Here is a 21,332-nt window from a genome sequence, read left to right on the forward strand (position 1 = left end):
TATGTTTCCAAACATACCTAAACATAGAGAAGGAACAGTAAAGATAATGTTTAAAATATAAAATATATAAATATTTAAATATTTAAATATAAAATATAAAAAATATATTAAAAATATATAAAATTTATATATATCATATATATAAATATATACAAAATTTTATATATATTTATATATTATATATGTATATATAATATATATAAAATAACTTATATATATTATATATAAATGTATAGAATTTTATATATATTTTATAAAAATATATATATAATTTATAAAAATTTATATCAAATATAAAAATATATAAATATAAAATATAAAAAATGGTACACCTATATAGGGCACTTACTATGAATGGATTTTACAGGACTGAAGGTTGCTCTGGGTGAGCCAGTGACTGAGTGGTGAATGAATGTGAAGGCCTGGGACATTACAGTTTATTGCTGTAGACCTCACAGACAATGTACACCTAGGCTATTCTGAATGTATAACATATTTTTCTTTCTTCAATAATAAATTAATTTTAGCTTACCTTAACTTTTTTACTTTATAAACTTTTTAACTTTAAACTTTGTGCCTCTTTTATAATAACAGCTCAAAACACATTGCACAGCTATATAAAAATATCTTCTTCTTTCTTTATATCCTTATTCTGCAAGCTTTTTCTATTTTTTAATTTTTTCTAACTTTTTTGTTAACTAAGACACTGTGTTAGGCCATTCTTGCATTGTTATAAAGAAATATCTGAGGCTGGGTAATTTATAAGAAAAGAGGTTTAATTGGCTTATGGTTCTGCAGGCTGTACAGGAAGCATAGTGGCATCTACCTCCAAGGAGGCCTCAGGAAGCTTTTACTCATGGCTGAAGCAGGCACATTACATAAGGAGAATGGGAGCAAGTGTAAGGTGGGAGTAGGCACCATGCACTTGTAAACAGCCAGATCTCAGAAGTCACTCACTATTACCAGGACAGCACCAAGAGGATGGCACTAAACCATTCATAAGAAACCCGCCTCCATGATCCAAGCACCTCCCACCAGGCCCCACCTCCAGCACTGAAGATGACAATTCAACATGACATTTACATGAGATTTAGGCGGGGGCAAATATACAAACTCTATCAGAAACAAACACACTCATTAGTCTAGGCCTACACAGAGTCAGGAGCATCAGTATCACATCTTCCACCTCCACATCTTGTCTCACTGGAAGCCCTTCAGGGGCAATGACAGGCAGGGAGCTGTCATCTATGAAAACAATGCCTACTTCTGGATGCCTCCTGAAGGACCTGATTAGGCTGTTTTTTTATAAGTAGAAGGAGTAAACTGTAAAATAATGATTAAAAGTGTTGTATAGTAAATGCATAAACCAGTTAACATAGTCATTTATTATGATTATCAAGTATTAGGTAATTTACTTAATGGTATTTGGTATACTTTTATACAACTGGCAGTGCAGTAGGTTTGCTTACATCAGTATCACTACAAACACATGAGTAATGCTACATTATGAGGGCTATGATGCCACTAGACGATAGGAATTTGTCAGCTCCATTATAATCTTATGGGGACACCATAGTGTATACGACAGTCCATCATTGACCAGTATGTCCTTATGTGGTGGATGACTATCATACCGAATCTATGCAAACTCATTCAAAGTATGAAAGACAATGGATACTATAAGAAAACCACAGAACAATAGCATTTGTGCACATAGATGCATAAATCCTCAAAAATTCTTACAAATAAAATCCAGCAATATGTAAAAATGCTAATATGTCATGATCAAGTATGTTTGGCTGGCTCGAAATCTGAAAGTCAGTCAATGTAATTCATCTTATTAATAGACTAAAGAAGAGAAAATGGATCATCTCATGGATACAGATAGAACACCCGATTAAATTAAACATATATTCATGATAAAAATGCAAAGCAAATTAAAAATTGAAGAGAACTTCTCCAGTCTGAAAAGGGACTCTAGGCCAGGCGCGGTGGCTCACGCCTGTAATCCCAGCACTTTGGGAGGCTGAGGCAGGCGGATCACGAGGTCAGAAGATCGAGACTATCCTAGCTAACATGGTGAAACCCCGTCTCTACTAAAAATAGAAAAAATTAGCCGGGCATGGTGGCGGACACCTGCAGTCCCAGCTACTTGGGAGGCTGAGGCAGGAGAATGGCATGCACCTGGGAGGTGGAGCTTGCAGTGAGCTGAGATGGTGCCACTGCACTCCAGCCTGGGTGACAGAGCAAGACCCTGTCTCAAAAAAAAAAAAAAAGAAAGAAAGAAAGAAAGAAAGAAAGAAAGAAAGAAAGAAAGAAAGAAAGAAAGAAAGAAAAGAAAAGGGACTCTAAAAAACAAACCGCTACAACAGAATACTTATGGAGGAAAGGCTGCCCAGTTTTGCCCTTAGTTCAGTCAAAAGGCAAGATGTTCATTCTAACAACTTTTGCATTCCAGGTCTTAAAGTAACTTGAAATTAGAGAGGTTCCCCAAATGCCCTCTTCTTCACCACCTCCCTCTTTCATCTACCATCCTCCATCAAGGGCATATAAGCAAAGAAGGACACCAGAAGGACCTGTGGCCTCCAGCGGGTGACAGGAGGATTATGGGACAGAGGAGCAGGTGAATCACCCCATCAGGCTGCAATTTTGCATCTTGGGCCCACTGAGAGGGTTGTGGCTTTGATTCTGTCAACTGGAGTATTACTGTAATGGGTAAAACATGTTGATTACTATAGTGCACTGGATGGAATGTGATTCTTTAAGAGTGTTGAGTCTGGAAATTCGGGAAGGCCTATTACTAGTGTTGTTGGAAGAGAAAGTGGGAAAAGCCACTGCAAGGTGAAAGGCTTTCACGGACAACTCAGTAACGAATAGCTGTCTGATCATGATGCCTGTGGGACCGGGGATAAGTCACCGCAATCTCCTGTGTTAATGTCCTCATCTGTGCAATCGGCATTTAAACCAAGGGAGGCACTGTTGCTTTAATATGCCACATCAATAGGCTGAATAAGAATAATTACAGGAATTTAAAAGTATGAGAAGAAACAGGTGAGCATTTAGCTCCTAATTTAAAATTTAAAAGGGCATCACAAATAGCATGGCATTTTATAATATATAACAGGATATGCTAAGATGTTTCTGCATGCACACATTCTTTTCCAGGAAAATCAATGACCAGGAGCACAGACCTCCCAAAATTGTGTCTTAACGAGGCTTCCAAAGCTTCTACTTATATTTTGGTAAGAACTAAGAAAGCCCAGCATACGGTTTTTAATTAAAACCAAGTGTTTATATGTGGCTGCAAAATAGTGGTTTTCCCCCCTGGTTACACAAATTATAGAGGATAAAAATGGTACAAACATCTCTTGATTTCTGACCTGAATAGCAAAGGTTGTTCCACTCTGCACAAAGCCCCCATAGGAGGAAGTGTTATAGGTGGCAGTAAGAGATGGCAATAAAATGGTCAAGAATTCGCAAAACGGCATTCAGGTAAGCAACAGTCTAGTAGTTCTTGGGTATTTTCTGCTTGGAAAATGTAACTCTACTTTATGTCTCATGCCAACTTTGTTCTATATTGATAAACGTGTCCAGCTCATAAATTGTAGACTTCTATGAGTTTTCAAAGATCAGGGTTTTCCTTGCTTGTGCTATTAAATATAGTATAGATAGCTATTGGTATTGTTTCTGTATATATGGGTGCAGCATTAGGCAGACATCAGACCCCCTCTGTAGAGCTTTACTCCAATTTGGAAAAGCCGGCTGGGCGCAGTGCTTCACATCTGTAATCCTAGCACTTTGGGAGGCTGGGGCAAGTGGATCACTTGAAGTTAGGAGTTCGAGATCATCCTGGACAACATGGTGAAACCCCATCTCTACTAAAAATACAAAAATTAGCTGTGTGTGATGGCACATGCCTGTAATCCCAGCTACTAGGAAGGCTGAGGCAGGAGAATCGCTTGAACCCGAGAGGCAGAGGTCACAGTGGGCTGGGATTGTGCCACTGCACTCCAGTCTGAGCAACAGAGCAAGACTCCATCTCAAAAAGAAAAAAAAATTTAGAAAAGCCTTGCAGGGTTGAAGCTGTCATGGAGAAGGTACAGCTTTGAAAACTCATGGCCCCTGCTCTAGGAGGGAATCCCTACTGGTCACCCGGGACTGCAAAGCAGCAGCTCCTTACACCTTGAAAAAATATGAATGTCCCCAAATTATACTATTTCTATTTTCTTATTCATATTAGCAGTGGCATTTCATTTTATTCCTTTCCTTTTTTTTCCGTAACCTCAAGTAATATAGCCATTGTAAGAGAACAGGAAACAGATAAACAAACGTGAAGAAAGTCACATAAAATTCCATTTACCAGAAAGAACCACTATTCATATATTAGTTTGTAGCCTTCCAGGCTTATACACATATGCATATGTAACAATTCTATACCTTTAATATTCTACTTTTTCTTTTAGAATGCAAGGCCTTCTGTGTAATAAATAAAATAGCATTATTATTTTTAATAGCTGCTGCTTTGAGTATGCCGTAACTTATTTGAACATTTTTAGCTAGAGGCTAGAGAAAGACCTTTATCAATAAAAACAGACTTTTAGGGATATAAGATGGCAAAAGATCCTGGGAGACTGGGAGGGCAAGTACATTATATTTTAATAAATGAATCAATTTACTTAAAACCATTTACAGTGTATCTTCTGCATGTATGACAATTTTCTAAGCTCTGCGAAAAAATAAAGATGGATCAGATGAAGATTCTGATCTCACAGGTTTACTATGCAATGGGGAAAGAGACCAACTCCTCAAATACACAGTTATTTAACAGCTATATAAAATGTGAGAAAGAATTTTATGCATGGAAGAAGATGGTGTAGGAAAAGTGTCATATTTATATTGAGATGGTGCTTTCTCCAACTGGGTGATTTGGAAAAGGTTTTGTGGAAAAGATGGCATTTAACTGAGGGCTTCTAATGGATGACTCTCAGGTCACAATCCGTAGAAAGGGCCAAGAAAAGGAAAGAACAGTCCATGCAGAATACAGCCCAGGACAGACCATGGTAGAGTCTGAGAATTCCCAGGACAAGTGCCAGCTCCAGCCTCATAGAGGCAGGAACGGTTTGGACCCTGAGTCAAAGGACTGAGTCTTGCTTCTCAAAACTCAAGGTGGAAGAAAACATTGCAACTAGATCAGAGCTGGTAGTAAATTAATCAGATGTTCCACACACCAAAATCCCAACTGCTTACAAAAGATTAACTGGAGAAAATAGAGGAAGAGTAGGAATATAAATCCTCTGCAGATTCCTTCCTTGCATGAAAAAATATATGCATTAAATCACATAATCTTCACACCTATCTGTTTGAAGTGGACATGACTGACTCCATTTTGTAAATGCTGAAAACTAAAGCACCAAATTTGTCCCCTAATAACACAGGTAATAAATGATGGAATCGGGTGGAAATTCAGGCAAATTTGTTTTCAAAGACTATCCCCTTCAATCATGTCATTGCCACTCTGAAAGTGATTAAATGCAGGCAGGAACTGTAAATGAACTTTTTAGTGAAATGAAGGCCCTGAATTTGTGCAAGAAAATAAAAGCAAAGGTGAGGGAAAGAGAGGTAAAATAGGAGGGTGGAGATGAGAGCTTGACAGGCATGGAACATTAAATGATGCTGCTTCTCAACTCTACTGTCTGGAAAAGAGGCCTCTTAGGAGACACAGGGTATTAGTACAATATCTTATCTTAGAATGCTTGCCACCCTTCCTACACAATAGAGCTCCCACCCCTGATTGGGAAAGACCTGGGATATCCAGGGGTGAAAGGTGGAGCACTTCCCACTTCACAGCTCATGCCAGGGCTGATCTAAGGGAAGCCAGGCCTGGGGAAAATTATGAGTTCCAAGACCCAACAAATGAATGAGGAAGGGGAGCCAGCCTCTGCAGCAGAACCCCAATTGCTCCAGCAGGGAGATTCCAGGCCACACGTGTGGCTCCTGAATACCGTTGGCCTAACTTCCTCTGGAGCTCTGTGGGGTCTTTTGGTTCTGGGAAAGAAAAGGTACAACTAAAGACCCTGCATCATTGTAGCCCAAAGAGTTCTGCTATGAACTGCTTCCCTCAAGAAGCTGGACATGTAGAGGGAAGAGCCATTTCTGAAGGCTGGAAAAGAGCCACAACAGGAGAGAAGAAGGAGGATGGCTCAATCTCAGAGCCTTGTTAGGTGGATAAATTTTACCCAGTGAATTTGAAATCAACTGTAGTAATGACTTTGCCAGTTCCCATGGCAGTTGGATCTGTGAGACGTGCAAGCATCCCTGAAAATTTTGAAATTATTTTGGTAGAAAATGTTTGGAACATAAGAAGGGACTTCCTGCTAATCAAGACTTTAAAATATAAACTCTATTTTTGCCTATGGAAGTAACTCTGTCTTTAAGAGCATAGGTCTCCTTAATTTTTGTCCTGTGGTTCTCTAACCTATGTAATCTGTAGATTGATTTCTTTTCTTTTGATGGGTTTTTCCAAAGCAAAGAAATATGTCCAGTCACCTGTCACCTAACAATATTGATTAGTAAAACAGAAAATCTTCATGCATCAGTCAAAGATAAGGCTACAGATACTAACTGCACGTATCACCAGATTGTCTCTAACAGTCCCTATTTGTCACTGTGGCAAATTGTTGTAGAAGAGAATTAACCTTCCAATAAATCAATAAATCAAAGGCTGTTTCTGAACTACTACGATGGCCTATCCTTAGCTCTAAGGATTCGAGTGTCTTCCTTGCTAGGTCAGTTTTATATATTCTTCAGTGATGGATGGCTGACACTCAAGATGGCCTTAACAGCTCTTCCAAGTGACAGCAAATGACTGTGGACACTAAAGCCAGTTATTGGCTTGGCTCAAAGCTGCAAAAACGCAAGCAATTAACTGCTGTTACTGTAACAGATGGGCATTCTGTAGGGGGATACTAGGGAGATTATATCCTGGAGGTTTGCAATTGCATATATCATTCCAAGAAACAAGGATTCTAGTGTAACAATTACTAAGACAGAGCAGAGTGACATCTTAGGCTTTGCATCTTTAGGCAAATGTGAGTGTAAACATATGTACGGAGTCAGTATTTAAAAGTTGCTTTGCAGGATATTACAAATAGCTGTTTCTTTAAATATGACTATATGTGGTCATAGGCTGGCTGCTTGAGTCTGAGACATAGTGATTCTACAAATATTTTACATACACGTGCACACACACACACACACAGATGCCCTTCTTATATCAAAATGTAGAATGAAAGGAATACATTAAAATGTGAAGGAGTTTCTCTTAGGTAGTCAGATTATTATTGATTATTTTCTTATACATTTTTATAATTACTCAAATGTCCTTAAATGAGCATATTTTATTTTTATTAAATGTCCTTCATGTAAATTTTAATATCAGTAAGAATAGTGCATTTCTTTTCTCAATGAGATTACAGTTCAATAAGAGAAATTTTAGTTCCATAAATCATTACATTTGCTTATGGCCTTTCCCTAGAACCCAGGAACATAAAGTGATTCCACTAATTCCACTATAAAACAAAACTCTACCAGCAAAGCTCTGGTCACATGTAAGAGCAGAAAGTTAAAATACACATTTTTTACCTTTTGATTCAGGAAAAAAAGGAAAACCCATCATTTTAATGTCTTGTTATAGAAATCCTTAGCATAAAACAGTCAGCATTATGCAATGGAAATAGGGTTATCAGATTTTTCAAGGAAAAGTACAGGATGTCCTGTTAAATTTGAATTTCCAATAAACAACAAACAATATTTTTAGTATAATTATGCCTCATGCAGTATTTTACATATTTTATCTGGCAATCTCAAATGGAGAGAGTCCAAGATAAGAAACCTGGCCACTTACTTATTGTCTCAGACTCCAGCCCTGGCCCTAAGGATCTAGCTGCACTAACCAGGAGGGCTGGCTACTGTCTGTCCTGATATTCTATTTAAAGTCTTGGAGGGTGAGGAAGTATTCCTATGAACTTCATCTCCTAGAGGGTCATGATTAGCTATTTTTTCCAAAACTGGGACCTGAGGACCCTGAGAATTTGGGGGTACAGATTTTGATGTCTTATTTGTTTCATTGATTATAAGTGTCTTAATTTCATTTTTCTAATAATTTTAAAATCATATAATCAAGTTCCACTTCCAGTTAGTATTTTGAAGGATGTAAAAAAAAAAATCACTCTCATCTTAACCAAAAAGCACAGGAAATGTTTTTAAAAATTTTTTGTAAAGTCATCGTGGAGCTTTGGAAGCAAAGAAACCAGCAAGAGCTAAAACTTCTGAAGGCAAGCATGGACCAGGTGAGCAAGGGGCACAGTGCACTTTCTCATCATGACTGAGGGTGGCTGCAGGCATGGGAGAGGCATGGGCTGGCCAGGGAAAGACAGCTGCTAGGGTGAGGCAAAACCATCCAAATTACTGACACCCCTGTGGACAGGCAGGTCAGCTCCGACTCTGGAGAAAACACAGAGGCAAGGATAATCCCTTCCACCCAGTAATTCTGTAACCCAAGGATTTAACAGAGGGTGGAGGAGGGCTGGAGAACAGAAAGAAATCATGAGTTCTCACTGTCCGAGTCTCACAGTCCTGCAGCTTCCAGATCTCAGCCTTAAGGTTTCCCAGTTTCCATAGCTGGACATCTCTGAGTCATCAGATTTGCAACCCAGTGGTCTCTGGGTCTCCCACCTTTGAGGTGTAGCAATCTCCTTCTGTTTGACTCTGGAGTCCTTCATGAGGAAGAGCCTGAGCTCACCCTCAAAGCATTTGAAGTGCCAGGTGAGCTGAGTTTAAGCAAAGATGCAACCAAACCCCAACCCAATTAAACTTCTGTGAAAACTGAAGATAAACAAAGAAAGCAATTTTTGGTGCTTGAATTTCAAGGCCCTGCTATATATATTAAAGCCATAAAACTTTATTTAAGCAGCTCAACTCCAGATCAGCTCAAACTGGTCAGTCCTAACTTATAGATGCCAAACAGAGGAAAGGGTATTTCCTGAAATAAGGAGGATATATATATATTACATCCAGTCAATCAATAGAAACAAGCCAACAGATGGCTCAGATTTTAGAATCAGCAGATAAGTTATTTAAAATAGCAATGAGATTGATTTTTTAAAAAACTATAAAGAAAGGTGGATAAACAGACAAATAATTTAGGAGACATGGAAACTATACAGAATAGCATATTAAAACTAAAACATACAATATCTGAAATAAAATTTTACTGTATGGGATTAGTAGCAGATTGGACGCAGAGAAATGAGGATTAAGTAAATCTGAAGATAAGTCAATAGAAATCATTGAAATTGAACTACTGGCTGAAAAAAAATTTGTTTTTTTAAAAATGAATAAAGCCTCAGTGACATGGGGACAGTGTCGAGCATTCTGAAATACGTGTAGTTGGAGCCCAAGTAGAAGGAAAGATTGCAAAACAAAATGTTGGCCAAAACTTTTAAAAATTGGATCAAAAACAGCAATCTAGACACACTGTAAGCTCAGCAAACTTTAAAAAAGATAAATAAAAATGGGCCAGGCTCAGTGGCTCACACCTGTAATCCCAGCACTTCGGGAGGCCGAGGCCAGTGGATCCCGTCAGGAGTTTCAGACCAGCCTGCCCAACATGGCGAAACCCCATCTCTACTAAAAATATAAAAATTAGCTGGGCATGGTGGTGGATGGCTGTAATCCCAGCTACTTGGGAGGCTGAGGCAGGAGAATCGCTTGAACCCAGGAGGCAGAGGTTGCAGTGAACTGAGATGGTGCCACTGCACTCCAGCCTGGGTGACAAGAGCAAACTCCATGGCAAAAATAAAATAATAAAATAAAATAAAATAAAATAAAAACGAATAGGCCAGGTACAGTTGCTCACGCCTGTAATCCCAGCACTTTGGGAGGCCGACACAGTGGATCACTTGAGGCCAGGAGTTCCAGACCAGCCTGGCCAACATGGCAAAACCCCGTTTCTACTAAAAATACAAAAAATAGCTGGGCATAGTGGTGGGTGCCTGTAATCCCAGCTATTCGGGAGGCAAGATGGTGCCGCTGTACTCCAGCCTAAACTACAGAGTGAGACTCTGTCTCAAAATAAATAAATACATAAGAAATGACTCTTAGGAGCAGCATAGTTAAGTGGTTAACTTAACAATAATGATATAAAGAAAATCTTAAAACAGGCCAAAGACGGAGGCAGAGTAGACACAGGGAACCAATATTTAGGAAACTGCTGAACTTCTCGTTCAAAGCAATGAAAGATAAAAACACTGAAACAACATCTTCAGAGTTCTAAGGAAAATAAAAACCTGTCAACCTAGAATTTAATTTCCAGTGATAGATATTTTCAGCAATGAAAGTAAAATGTTCAGATAAATAAAAGCTGAGAGATTTTGTTTCTAGAGGACTTATAGTATAAGACATGCTAAAGGAAGTTTTTCAAGTTGAAAATGGACTAAAATGGGATTCTAGATGGAGACTTGGTTCTACAGAAAAAAAATGAAGAATACTGGAAAGAGAAAATATGTGAGTAAATAGACATGTTATTTTTCTTTTTTTCCCATTCAAGAAAAATTTAATTGACTGTTCAAAGAAAAAATAATATTAACTATGTGTTGTGGTGCTTATAACATGTCGATGTAAGATATCGCACAGTGCAGTAATAGCCTGAACAATGGGATAGGGTATGTATTAAGTTACATTATTGTGAAGTCCCTACATTATTCACAAAGTGCAATAACATTAATCAAGGTGTAGTGTGATAAGGATAATACTGTAATTCATATGGCAACCATAAAAAAAGTAGAACAAGCACATATAGCTAAAAAGCCAATAGAAGAGATACAGTAAAACACTCTTAAAAAATTAACTCACAAGAACACAAAAAGGGAAGAACAAAGGAACAAATAATATGAGGACAAAGAGAAAACAAGTAGCAAGGTATAGACATAAAACCAATTATACTGATAATTACAGTGGACTAAACACTTTAAATAAAGGCCAGAGATTTTTATTTAAACACAAGGAAGAAGAGGCACAGATGTTTAGGCCACAGGATGGCCTAGTTGGCCTTTCTCACTTTATGCTGTTTACCAGATGAATTTTAAATACAAAGGTATATAAAATACAAAGATATACAGAAAGATTGAAGGAATGGAAAAAGATATGTAATACAAAGAGGAAGCACAAGAAAAATGGTGTGAGTGTGTTAGTAACAAACAAAATAGGGTTTTATAAAAGGAGTATAAGCAGATATAAAAAGAACCGTTTTATAACAACTAGAACTCAAATAATTGAAAGTATTAACAATCCTACATGTGTACAAGTAGTTTCAAAATGCATGAAGCAAAATGGACAGAACTAAAGGTATTAAAAGCAACCCCACAGTCATAGTTTGAGATTTCAATGGCTAGCTTGTATAAGTGATAAAAAATATAAACAAAAAATCAGTAGGAATATAAAAGATGGGAATAATATCATCAACCAACCAGCTCTGATTGCCACTTGCAGAACACCACACCTAACATGTACAGAGTGCACAATCCTTCCCAGGGCTCAGGGAATACAGACCAAGATGAAACATGTGATGGACCCTGAAACCAGTCTTAACACATTTGGAAGGACGAAAATAGTAAATATTATATTCTCTAGCCACATTTAAATTAAATTAAAAATAAATGTCAGTAATTATAAAATTATCTAGAAATTATGTAGAAACTCTCCAAATATTTGGAGATTATGCAGCAGACATTAAATGAGAAATAGGTTGAAGAAAAAACTCCTCCAGAATAATTTAAAAATATTTTCAACTGAGTGTTGGGAAGACAAATATTGACATTTATGGGATGCAGATATGGTGGTCCTTAAATAAAACCAATAGCTTTAAATGGTTACATTTCAATAGAAGAAGAGAGTACAAAACCAGTTACCTAAGCTTCCAATACAAAAATCTACAAAAAAGACAGCAAGATTTACCCCCAAAATATCAATGAAATAAAAAACAAACTACAGAACACATCAACAGAGCCCAACTAAGAGTTTTTAAAAATAATAATGAAATTTTAAGAAAAGTGAGAGAAAATAATTAAAAACAAGGGGATGAAATTAGAAAGATAGCTACAGATTTTTCAGATATTGAAAGGATAACAAAGGTTTATTTTGAATATTATGCCAAAACAACTTGACAACTTAGATAAACTGACTGAATTTCTTTAAAAAGCAATTTACCAAAATATTAGAAATTCTGAATAGTTATATGTCATTTCAAAAATGGAATTTATAATTAAACATCTACTTATAAGGAGACCTCTAGGCTCAGATGCCTTGACTGGTGAATTCTATCAAACATTTAAAGAATAAATAGTATCAGTCATATACAAACTCTTTCAGAAAAGACAGGATAAGAAAATGCTTCCCAATTTCCATTGTGAAGCCAGAATTACCTTAAAAGCAAAAGCTAACTGAAATCTTACAAGAAATTATAGACCAATATTTCTTATGAACATAAACATGAAAATCATTAAATATTAGCAAACTGAATGCAGCATTATGACCAAGTGGGGTTTATCTCAGGAATGCAACATGTGTTCAACATTCAAAAATCAATATAATTTATACATTAAGAAAAAAATTCCTATGATAAGTTTATTAGATACAAAAAAATGCACTGGACAAAATTCAACACTTAGTTATTATAAAAACAATCGCAAAGGAAAAAAGAAAGAAATTTCCTCAACCTAAAAAGGACATCCACAAATAAAACCTACAGCCATTATTATATTTAATCATCCATTTTGAATATTTTCCATGTATGAATGTGAGGCTCCGAGTCCTTTTATTCCACATTGTGTTACAGGTCCCTAAAGAATGAAATGAAGTATTTAAAAATAAAAAGAAATAAAGATTGAAAGAAAGAATTAAACTTGTCTTTATCTGATGCCAATACAGTTTCTTTCTTAAAAAAATACAAAGCATATGCAAAGCAATTACTAGAATTAATAAATGAATTAACCCAGGTGATAGGACATAAGGTCAATATGCTAAAACCAATTTCATTACTATACACTAGCAAGAAACAATTGGAAAATAAAACTTTAAGGTATGTATAATAACATCTAAAAACAGAAAATACTTTGTAATAAATTTTTAAAATTGTGTGTTAGAACTTTGTGTTAAAAAATTCACAGAGAAAATCAAGTTAACATGTAGAGACATGTACTATGTTCATAGATTAGAGATTCAATGTTATTAAGATGTCAGGTCTCTCCCAATGGATCTGTGGACTCAATAACCCCCTGCAAGTATGTCTCTAGAGGCTGACACATTGCTTCAGCTACTCATAAGGAAATTCAAAGCAATATACTTAATAAATTCAAAGCTAATACTTTTTTTTAATCAAAAGGACTGACACTACCTGATTCCGAGGCTTATTATAAAGGTATTTAATTAAGGAACTAATGGCATTGGCATACAAATCTATCTTTAAAGCTGTGGAACAGAACAGGTATCTGACAAATTCACTTGATAGTTAATGGAATTTTGAAAAATATTGAAAAGAAAGTTATCTTTTCTAGGATATTTTTGTCTACTCTGAGGATGAGGACAGTCCTCAACAAATGATAATGGAAAGGGTAGGTATCTGTATGGAAGAAAGAAACCTTGACTTCTAACTCTGGATACATCACAAAATTACCTTGAACTAGATCATAGACCTAAATACAAAATCTAAAACAATACAGCATCCAGAAGAAAACATGGAGAGAATTGTTCTCGACCTCAGAGCAGGCAAAAATATCCTAGAAAAGACAAAAAGAAACGAGGAATAATGAAGAAAACAAAATTTTTAAGTTGGAATTTGTTAAATAAATTATTGCTTTTTAAGAGGCTTTAAAAATGCAGGTGTTTTTAAACTTTGTTTTCACTTCATTGTTAAAAAATGAAAGAACAAGATTTTAAAACTTTTTAAAAACAATGAAGTTCCGGGCACGGTGGCCCAGCACTTGGGGAGGCCGAGGTGGGTGGATCACGAGGTCAGGAGTTTGAGACCAGCCTTGCCAACATGGTGAAACCCCATCTCTACTAAAAATACAAAAATTAGCTAGGCGTGGTGGTGCAGACGTGTAATCCCAGCTACTCGGGAGGCTGAGGCAGGAGAATCACTTGAGCCTGGGAAATGGAGTTGCAATGAGCCGAGATTGTACCACTGTACTTCAGACTGTATGACAGAGCGAGACTCTGTCTCAAACTAAATAAATAAATAATTAAAGAAATAAGCAAAATAAAAATTAAAAACAATGAAAATGGGGGAAAATATTTATAATTTTTATATCTAAGGATGTCTCTCCAAAAAATGCATAAACTCCAGAAACTCAAGAAAAAAGACAAATAATCAATTTGTTTTTATTCAAAAACAGGCAATTATAAATAGACTCCTTACAACATAATATATACAAAAGGCCAAAAGCACATGAAAAAGTGTCTGACATTGGCTAGTTAGAAGGCAAAGGCAAATTAAAAGTAAGCTGAGATGCTACTTCACATGTACTAGGTTGGCTAAAATTCAAAAAGATTAATAACATCAATATTGGCAAGGAAGTAGAACAATGGGAATTCTCAAATACTGCTGGTAGAAGTACAGCACATGGCCAGACATTTTGGAAAGTAATTCAGTAATTTCTTATAGGGTTATATATATATACCATACATACAGCAATTACACTTCTCAGAGAGCATAAACCCACAGGAAGACATATCAGTTTATTCCCAATAACCAAAGCCCAAAAACAACCCAAATGTCATTAACAGGTGAATGGAGAAACAAACTTTTGAAGAGCCATACAATGTGACACTACTTAGCAAGAAAAATGAACAGTTTCCTAATGTACATAATCACATGAATAGATCTCAAAAACATAGTATTGAGTGAAAGACGACACAAAAGAGACTATATGATGCTATGTGATTCCATGTATAGGAAGTCCTTGAGCAAAATGGAAGTGATTTTCTGATATTGGGTGTGTGAAGGGTTGGTTTGGCAGTATCAACCTAAAAAACAAGCAGAGTCAGGCTCTCTAAAAGAAAAGATATTTATCCAGGAATAGGGCATTGCAGTGGGAGTAGACATGTCATACTAAACTATGTGTGTATTCAGGGAGGTAAGGGAAAACTAAGGATTTTAAAGGGAAAATGAGAAGAATTTCATAATTGCTTTTAAATAATTATCTTTGACTACAAAGATCAATAGCAAGGGTGACACCAGCCAGAGGCTGGACAGGCAGTTGCTGGACAGATGTCCTGGAAGATTTTTTGTGTAGGGTTGTGATAGCCTTTGTGCAAAGTTTTGGTTTTTGTAGCCTTTTTTGTTATCAGGCATACAAGCATGAGAAGTCTCTATTCATAGCCTTTCCCAGCTCTATTTGTCAGTGGTTTCTTAACATTAGTGACTCCATTTTGATTCTGACAACTTTCATGGCAGTCAGATAGGATATTGACTGAAATCGACAACAGGAAAGTTACTGAGGGGTAACAATGTATATTTTGATTGGTGTGTTTGTTACAAATGTATATATTTGTCAAAATTCATCCAAGCATATAAAGTCTGTACATTTTATTGTATGTAAACTATTCCTCAATAAAGTTGGTTTAAAATTACATAAGCATCTTTTAGATCTTTAGATGATCACCTTGCTGAGGGCCATCATGTGATTTTGTTTCTCACAGTTCAAATGTTTATTATTATGCTGATACTGCTTTTGGTACAATTTTAATAGTCACAGATTCAATAAGACACAGCAGAGAGTCTTCATAAATAACAGCTACAGTTATGTTAAGTAGAGGCCAGTGACTTTATGGGAAGCCATGCTAATGAAGCATTGAAATAATCTAAATACAGAAAAATGTTGGAGAATCCTGGCCCCGCTAGGCAGGAATCCTCTGACAATGCTGAGCTCAGAACTCAAGAGTAATTAGAAACATTGGCCTCCCAAGCTGAGCAGGCATGGAGCTTCGGGAATACTCTCTGCTCTGTCCTGGTAAGCTAATGTAGCTCGTTTCCATTTCATTGGTTTTGTAGTTTATATTATATCTGTTCTGTAAGTTTATTTTTATAGTTGTCTAAAAGCTATAAGCCTAACAGTTTGTAGTGTTTTATGTTTGCATATATATTTAAGTAAAATTACAATAAAAAGAATTGAAGTCAACATTGGGGGTCTGTGAGAATATTTTCTACTTTAAAGAGATCAATACATTATTCAAGGCTGGAAAATGCTGAGTATTTCCAAATGGTGTTATAATTGGAAAAGATCCAGAAATCTTGATTGGACGCTGGGGCTGCCAGAAAAAAAATGGAGCAGAGCTGGCAATAGTGGCTCTTTGCACAATTCAGAACCAGTTCTGCATCTGAGCGCATAGAGGCAGATTTGCTGGGATGGCATGAAAGGAATTCTTGTGCAGAAAAAGCGGTGGCTTAATTTCTAAGACAGCACTTTTGAGAATACTGAAAATAGGACTAAACACCATTTATAGTCTAATTATTATGGTAGAATTTTGATATCTGCAGATATGTTGTCAGGCCACCATTTGAATTGTGATATAGCCGATTCAATTAATGAACCATTTTATTTGTCAGGGCTTCTGAAATTCCAAGTGACAGAAGACTTCAATTCAAATAAGCTTGGGGGAAAAAAAAAGATGTGAATTGGCTCTGGTGATTACAAAGAGAACCAGTTAGAAACTTCTTTGAGCCTGCAAGGACCTCACACCTCACATCACATTATCGGGAGTTGATTTGTCTTCTTTTCTTGCTTCAGTTTTCTTCTGTGGTGTCTCCCTTTCAGGTAGAACATACCTACAACTTACAGTGACCCTAGCAGGCAAAGCCTTAATTTTTACAAGATTCAAGTCTAGTAGGAAAAATAAAAGGCATATTTTATTTTCATATGGTTCAAGATGGACCCAGCCTTTGCAGTCTCAACGGGATTGATCACAGGAGCATCCTTGAACATCCAGCATGACCAAAGGATGACAATGCTGGCCAGGTGGGGTCCCCTGCTGCAGCCGGCAGCTCCAACTGAGAATCAGGTGTGTTGAGACTGGGGCAGGAGTTGGTTCTCTAGAGGAAAACAGGTCAGTGTGTGTTATCAGAAGAAAGAGAATGGATATCGGGTGGCAAACATTTATATATCTGTTGTCAAATAGATATCAATATCTGTCTTTCAGTGCACAATCTCCAACAAAATAGGTATTAGCATAAAAAAAATCTATGCTGAATTAACAGCAACAATATCTTTGAGGCACATGGCAGAAATATGATTTAAATACAAGTATAGAAGGTGGCTTTGAAACTATTTGAAAAATTTTACTCAAAGGATACTGGTGAACTTCTGGTTTCTGGTCCAGCACATAAGGAGCGAAGAAGTCTTTGCAACACTCTTACAAGTCAAAAGCTGAGTGAACTGAAAAAGCAACAAACAGCTCTTCTTAGATCTGTCAGGGAAGTGAGATCACAGGCCAAACCACTGCCTCTAAATTAGACAGACAAGTGAATAACAATTTACCAGAGCAGTAATCCATGGAGGAGCAATCCCCATGGAACCAGTGCCAGGGTAGAAACATCTGAACTGTAACTGACGAAGTGCCGGGGGTTCATTGTGGACAAGTCTGGAGGTAAAAACTCTGGCTAGACCCAGTCACCAGGCACGGGGGGAAAAGGGCACACTTTTGTGAGTTTTGCCTCCTAGAGATCAAACAGGATCCTGCTTCCAGCAAGGGGAGGGGAAAAGGAACTATTTTGAATACACCAGAGCATTCTCTTCTTAACAGGAAGAAGAAGGCCTGCCTTCAGAAGAAACTAGTTAACCAGAGCCTAGCCTGCCAGGGTTTTCTTGGAGTCTAACTACCTTGAGTGAGGGGAATATCCAACTCTAGCCCACTCCAGCCATCCTGTGCCACCTAAAGGGGGATAAAAAATTGAGAAGTACTTGATGAAGTTTACAGTCCAGAAGCACAGGCTTGCCACATACTGAGACCTACTCACAGGACTATACCTTGTTTCCCCTCCCCACACCTTACCACCACAGCACTAAAGCCCAATTGACACAGTTCCTTTCATGCATTAAATCATGCCCTGCTATCAAGAAAAAATTACAAGGCACACTGAAAGGCAAACAAAACAAAACAAAACAAAACAAAAACAGTTTGAAGAGACAGAACAGACATCAGAACCAGATATGGAAGGGATGTTGGAATTTCAATACCAGAAATTTAAAACAACTATAATTAATATGCAAAGGGGACTAATGGGTAAAGTAAATACCATGCAAGAACAATTGAACAATGTAAGCAGAGAAATAGAAATTCTAAGAAATTTTGGTTAACCAAAAAGAAACACTAGTGAAGAAAACCACTGTTAGAGAAATGCAGAATGCCTTTGATGAGCTTATTATTATTAAATAGTAGACTGGACATAGCTGAAAAAAGAATCCCTGAGTTTGAGGATATCAGAAGAAACTTCCAAAATTAAAAAGCGAAGAGAAAAATGACTGAAAACAATAGAATGGAATTGAGACAATTATCTGAGACAACTACAAAAGAAACAATATATGTGCAATGGAATTCCCGACGGAGAACAAAGAGAAAAAGGAATGGAAGAAATATGTGAAACAATAATGACTGAGAATTTCCTCAAGTTAATGTCAGATATCAAACCACAGATCCAGGAAACTCAGAGAACCCCAAGCAGGGACTGGTTATTTAATTTGCTGGAAGACAGAATATCAATTATTAGAATAATAGACCAAATTGAATAATGTGATGTAAAGAATGAAGTTAAAGGCCAATGACTAAGTACATAATACCAACTCCAGAGGAATAAAATAGAGAAGATCTCTCCATTCTCAAATTCCATGGATTCCTGAGCATCTCTTCACTGGCCAGTGGTGGAAACCAGGTGCTGAATTCCTCAATAGCCCTCCAAAGGATTGTTTTCTTGAATATCACTAGGGAGTATGGAATAATTAGGATGCATAAGGTATGAGAAAAGTGATATAACAAGAATTCTTGGCCCAGAACCACAGAGAAATTTCAGGCTTATTTATGCCTGGTGCTGAAAGGAAGGAGTTTCTTTCAATAGCTGGAGATAAAACTTAGCTAGCATGTTCCTGAGTGAGGGCGTGAAGTGGTGCCTGGAAAAGCCTGGAAAATGGCAGAGAAGTACGGAGGCCTGTGCTCCCTCAGTGTCCTAGGGCTCAGTGTATTTGCAGAACTGTTTTGCATGATTAAGTACAGTCCTAGTGGGTTGGTGTTGAGGAGGTGGGGAGCTTAGGGAGAGGGGTGAGGGAGTGGAGGGGGTTGGTAACCGGAGATGTAGGAAAAAGCACTTTGTGTCATGTCGTTTTGTGATTCTTTGTTAATTCATCCGGTAAACATTTATTGTGCCCCTGCTGCATGCTATAGATGCTACATGCTCTAGATGCTAGAAATACAGAAGTGAGATAGAGTAGGGGTGGTCACTGTCATTGTCCTTGTCCCGTAAGTCCTAGATATCTATATGTTCTCATGTTTAGATCCCATGAAGAAGTCGTTTGGAACAAGGACTTACCTCCTTGTGACAATGAGACCAGGATTCTTCTGAAGCACACACCCACTGTCTCAGCCCAAGTATGAGGCCCAGTGTCAGAGCTTCAAGCAGCGTCAGGGAGAAGTCAGGTTCCTGACCATCTGTTTACAGAGGGAATCCCTTGTACCTCCCATCCTCAGGTTCTGCCATTATCCCATATAGCTAGTGATACTTGGGAAAGAATTGAGGTGCCCCAGAGAATTTCAAAGTCCCCTTGGCACACCAGGGAATATTCTAGAGCTCAACAAGCTTGGGACCAAGGAGATAAGCCATCCTGGGAGACCCACTTTCCTGACTCTCCACCAAAGATGCATGTGCCCCTGTGATATTATGAAATACATATTTGGTCTTCAACTCTGCTTCCTAGCATATATCTGCTAAAATCTTTAGAGTCCCCAGAGTAATGTCTTTTTGTATTTTAATGAGTCTGTCATGATTTAACCTACATGCCTGCCTAACGAAGCCTCCATAAAAACCCAAAAGGATAGCATTTGAAGAGCTTCAGGATAGCTGAATGTGCAGTGGTTCCTATGAGGGTGGGGACCTGGAGAGGGCATGGAAGTTCCATGCCTTTTCCCCCACACCTTGCCCTATGCATCTCTTCATCTGTATCCTTTGTGATATCCTTTATAATAAACTGGTAAACAAAGTCTTTCCCTGAGTTCTGTGAGCCACTCTAGTAAATTAATCAAACCAAAGAAGGGGGCTTATGGGATCCCCAATTTATAGCCAGTCATTCAGAAGCACAGGTAAAACAACCTGGGCCTTGAGATTGGCATCAGAAGTGGGAGCAGTCTTGGGGACTGATTTCCCAACCTGTGGGATCTGAGGCTATCTCCAGATAGACGGAGTCAGAATTGAACTGAAGGACACCCAGCTGGTGTCTACTGCAAAACTGATTGCTTGCTTTATGGTTGGGGGTAATCCCCAAACATTTGGCCACAGAAGTTTTCTGTGTTGATTGTCATGGTGTGAAAGCAAATTAAAAATAGAGTTTGTTTTTTTTTCTCTTAGCCACTGACTCATTATGAGCCCACCTGGAAACACCCTCCCCTTCCTGCACTGCTTTCTGCTGTGCTCAGCCAAGCAAAGCATCCCCTACATAGACCACAGGGTATAAATAATACTCCATCTCTTGTGGTATCACAGCCAGGTCCAGTGTCTGGCTCCTGGGAAGACCATGGGCCAGAGAAGTCAGGAGAAAACACATCCCAACTCAGAAGGGCTCCAGAGTGGATTTCAGGTTCCCTTTATTGACTCCAAAGAAAAATCCTGTCCAAATAGGGCCACATGGCATGCAGCACTAGCCACAGATTTCCTCCTTTGGAACTCTCCAAAGGTAAGAGGAGGAAACAGCTTTAAAAATGCAACCCGAAGCTTCTTACCTCTGCCTTATGGATCTAGATCCTTTCCCACTATTGCACAGTGCTATGCCATCTGCAATTCCAACCATTCTAAACCAACTGCTTATTGTACTTCTTAGAGTAGTAAACTTTGATAGGCCTTTGTTTCACAACAATTGTTTCTGAAACTTCTTTTTAGTCCACATCTATGGGGTCTGTGATACCAGTACAGTGGATGACTTTATAGTCTACGAAAAATGGATCCCTGGAAACCTCTTTTCAAGGAGTAAGATTTTGCCACTGATTTCAGAAGAATATCTGTGAGTCATCCATTTGAT

At 37.7% G+C, this 21,332-nt stretch overlaps 1 annotated feature.

Moving 5' to 3' along the window:
* Nucleotides 20,517-20,766: an enhancer, noted in NCBI's record as "active region_25989". NCBI's record gives its function as "activates an Ori minimal core promoter by ATAC-STARR-seq in GM12878 lymphoblastoid cells {active_cell/tissue: GM12878}" and the evidence as "EXISTENCE:reporter gene assay evidence [ECO:0000049][PMID:35858748]".

The sequence above is a fragment of the Homo sapiens genome, chromosome 7 (genome assembly GCF_000001405.40).
Source record: "Homo sapiens chromosome 7, GRCh38.p14 Primary Assembly".
In the NCBI taxonomy this organism is placed as follows: Eukaryota; Metazoa; Chordata; class Mammalia; order Primates; family Hominidae; genus Homo; species Homo sapiens.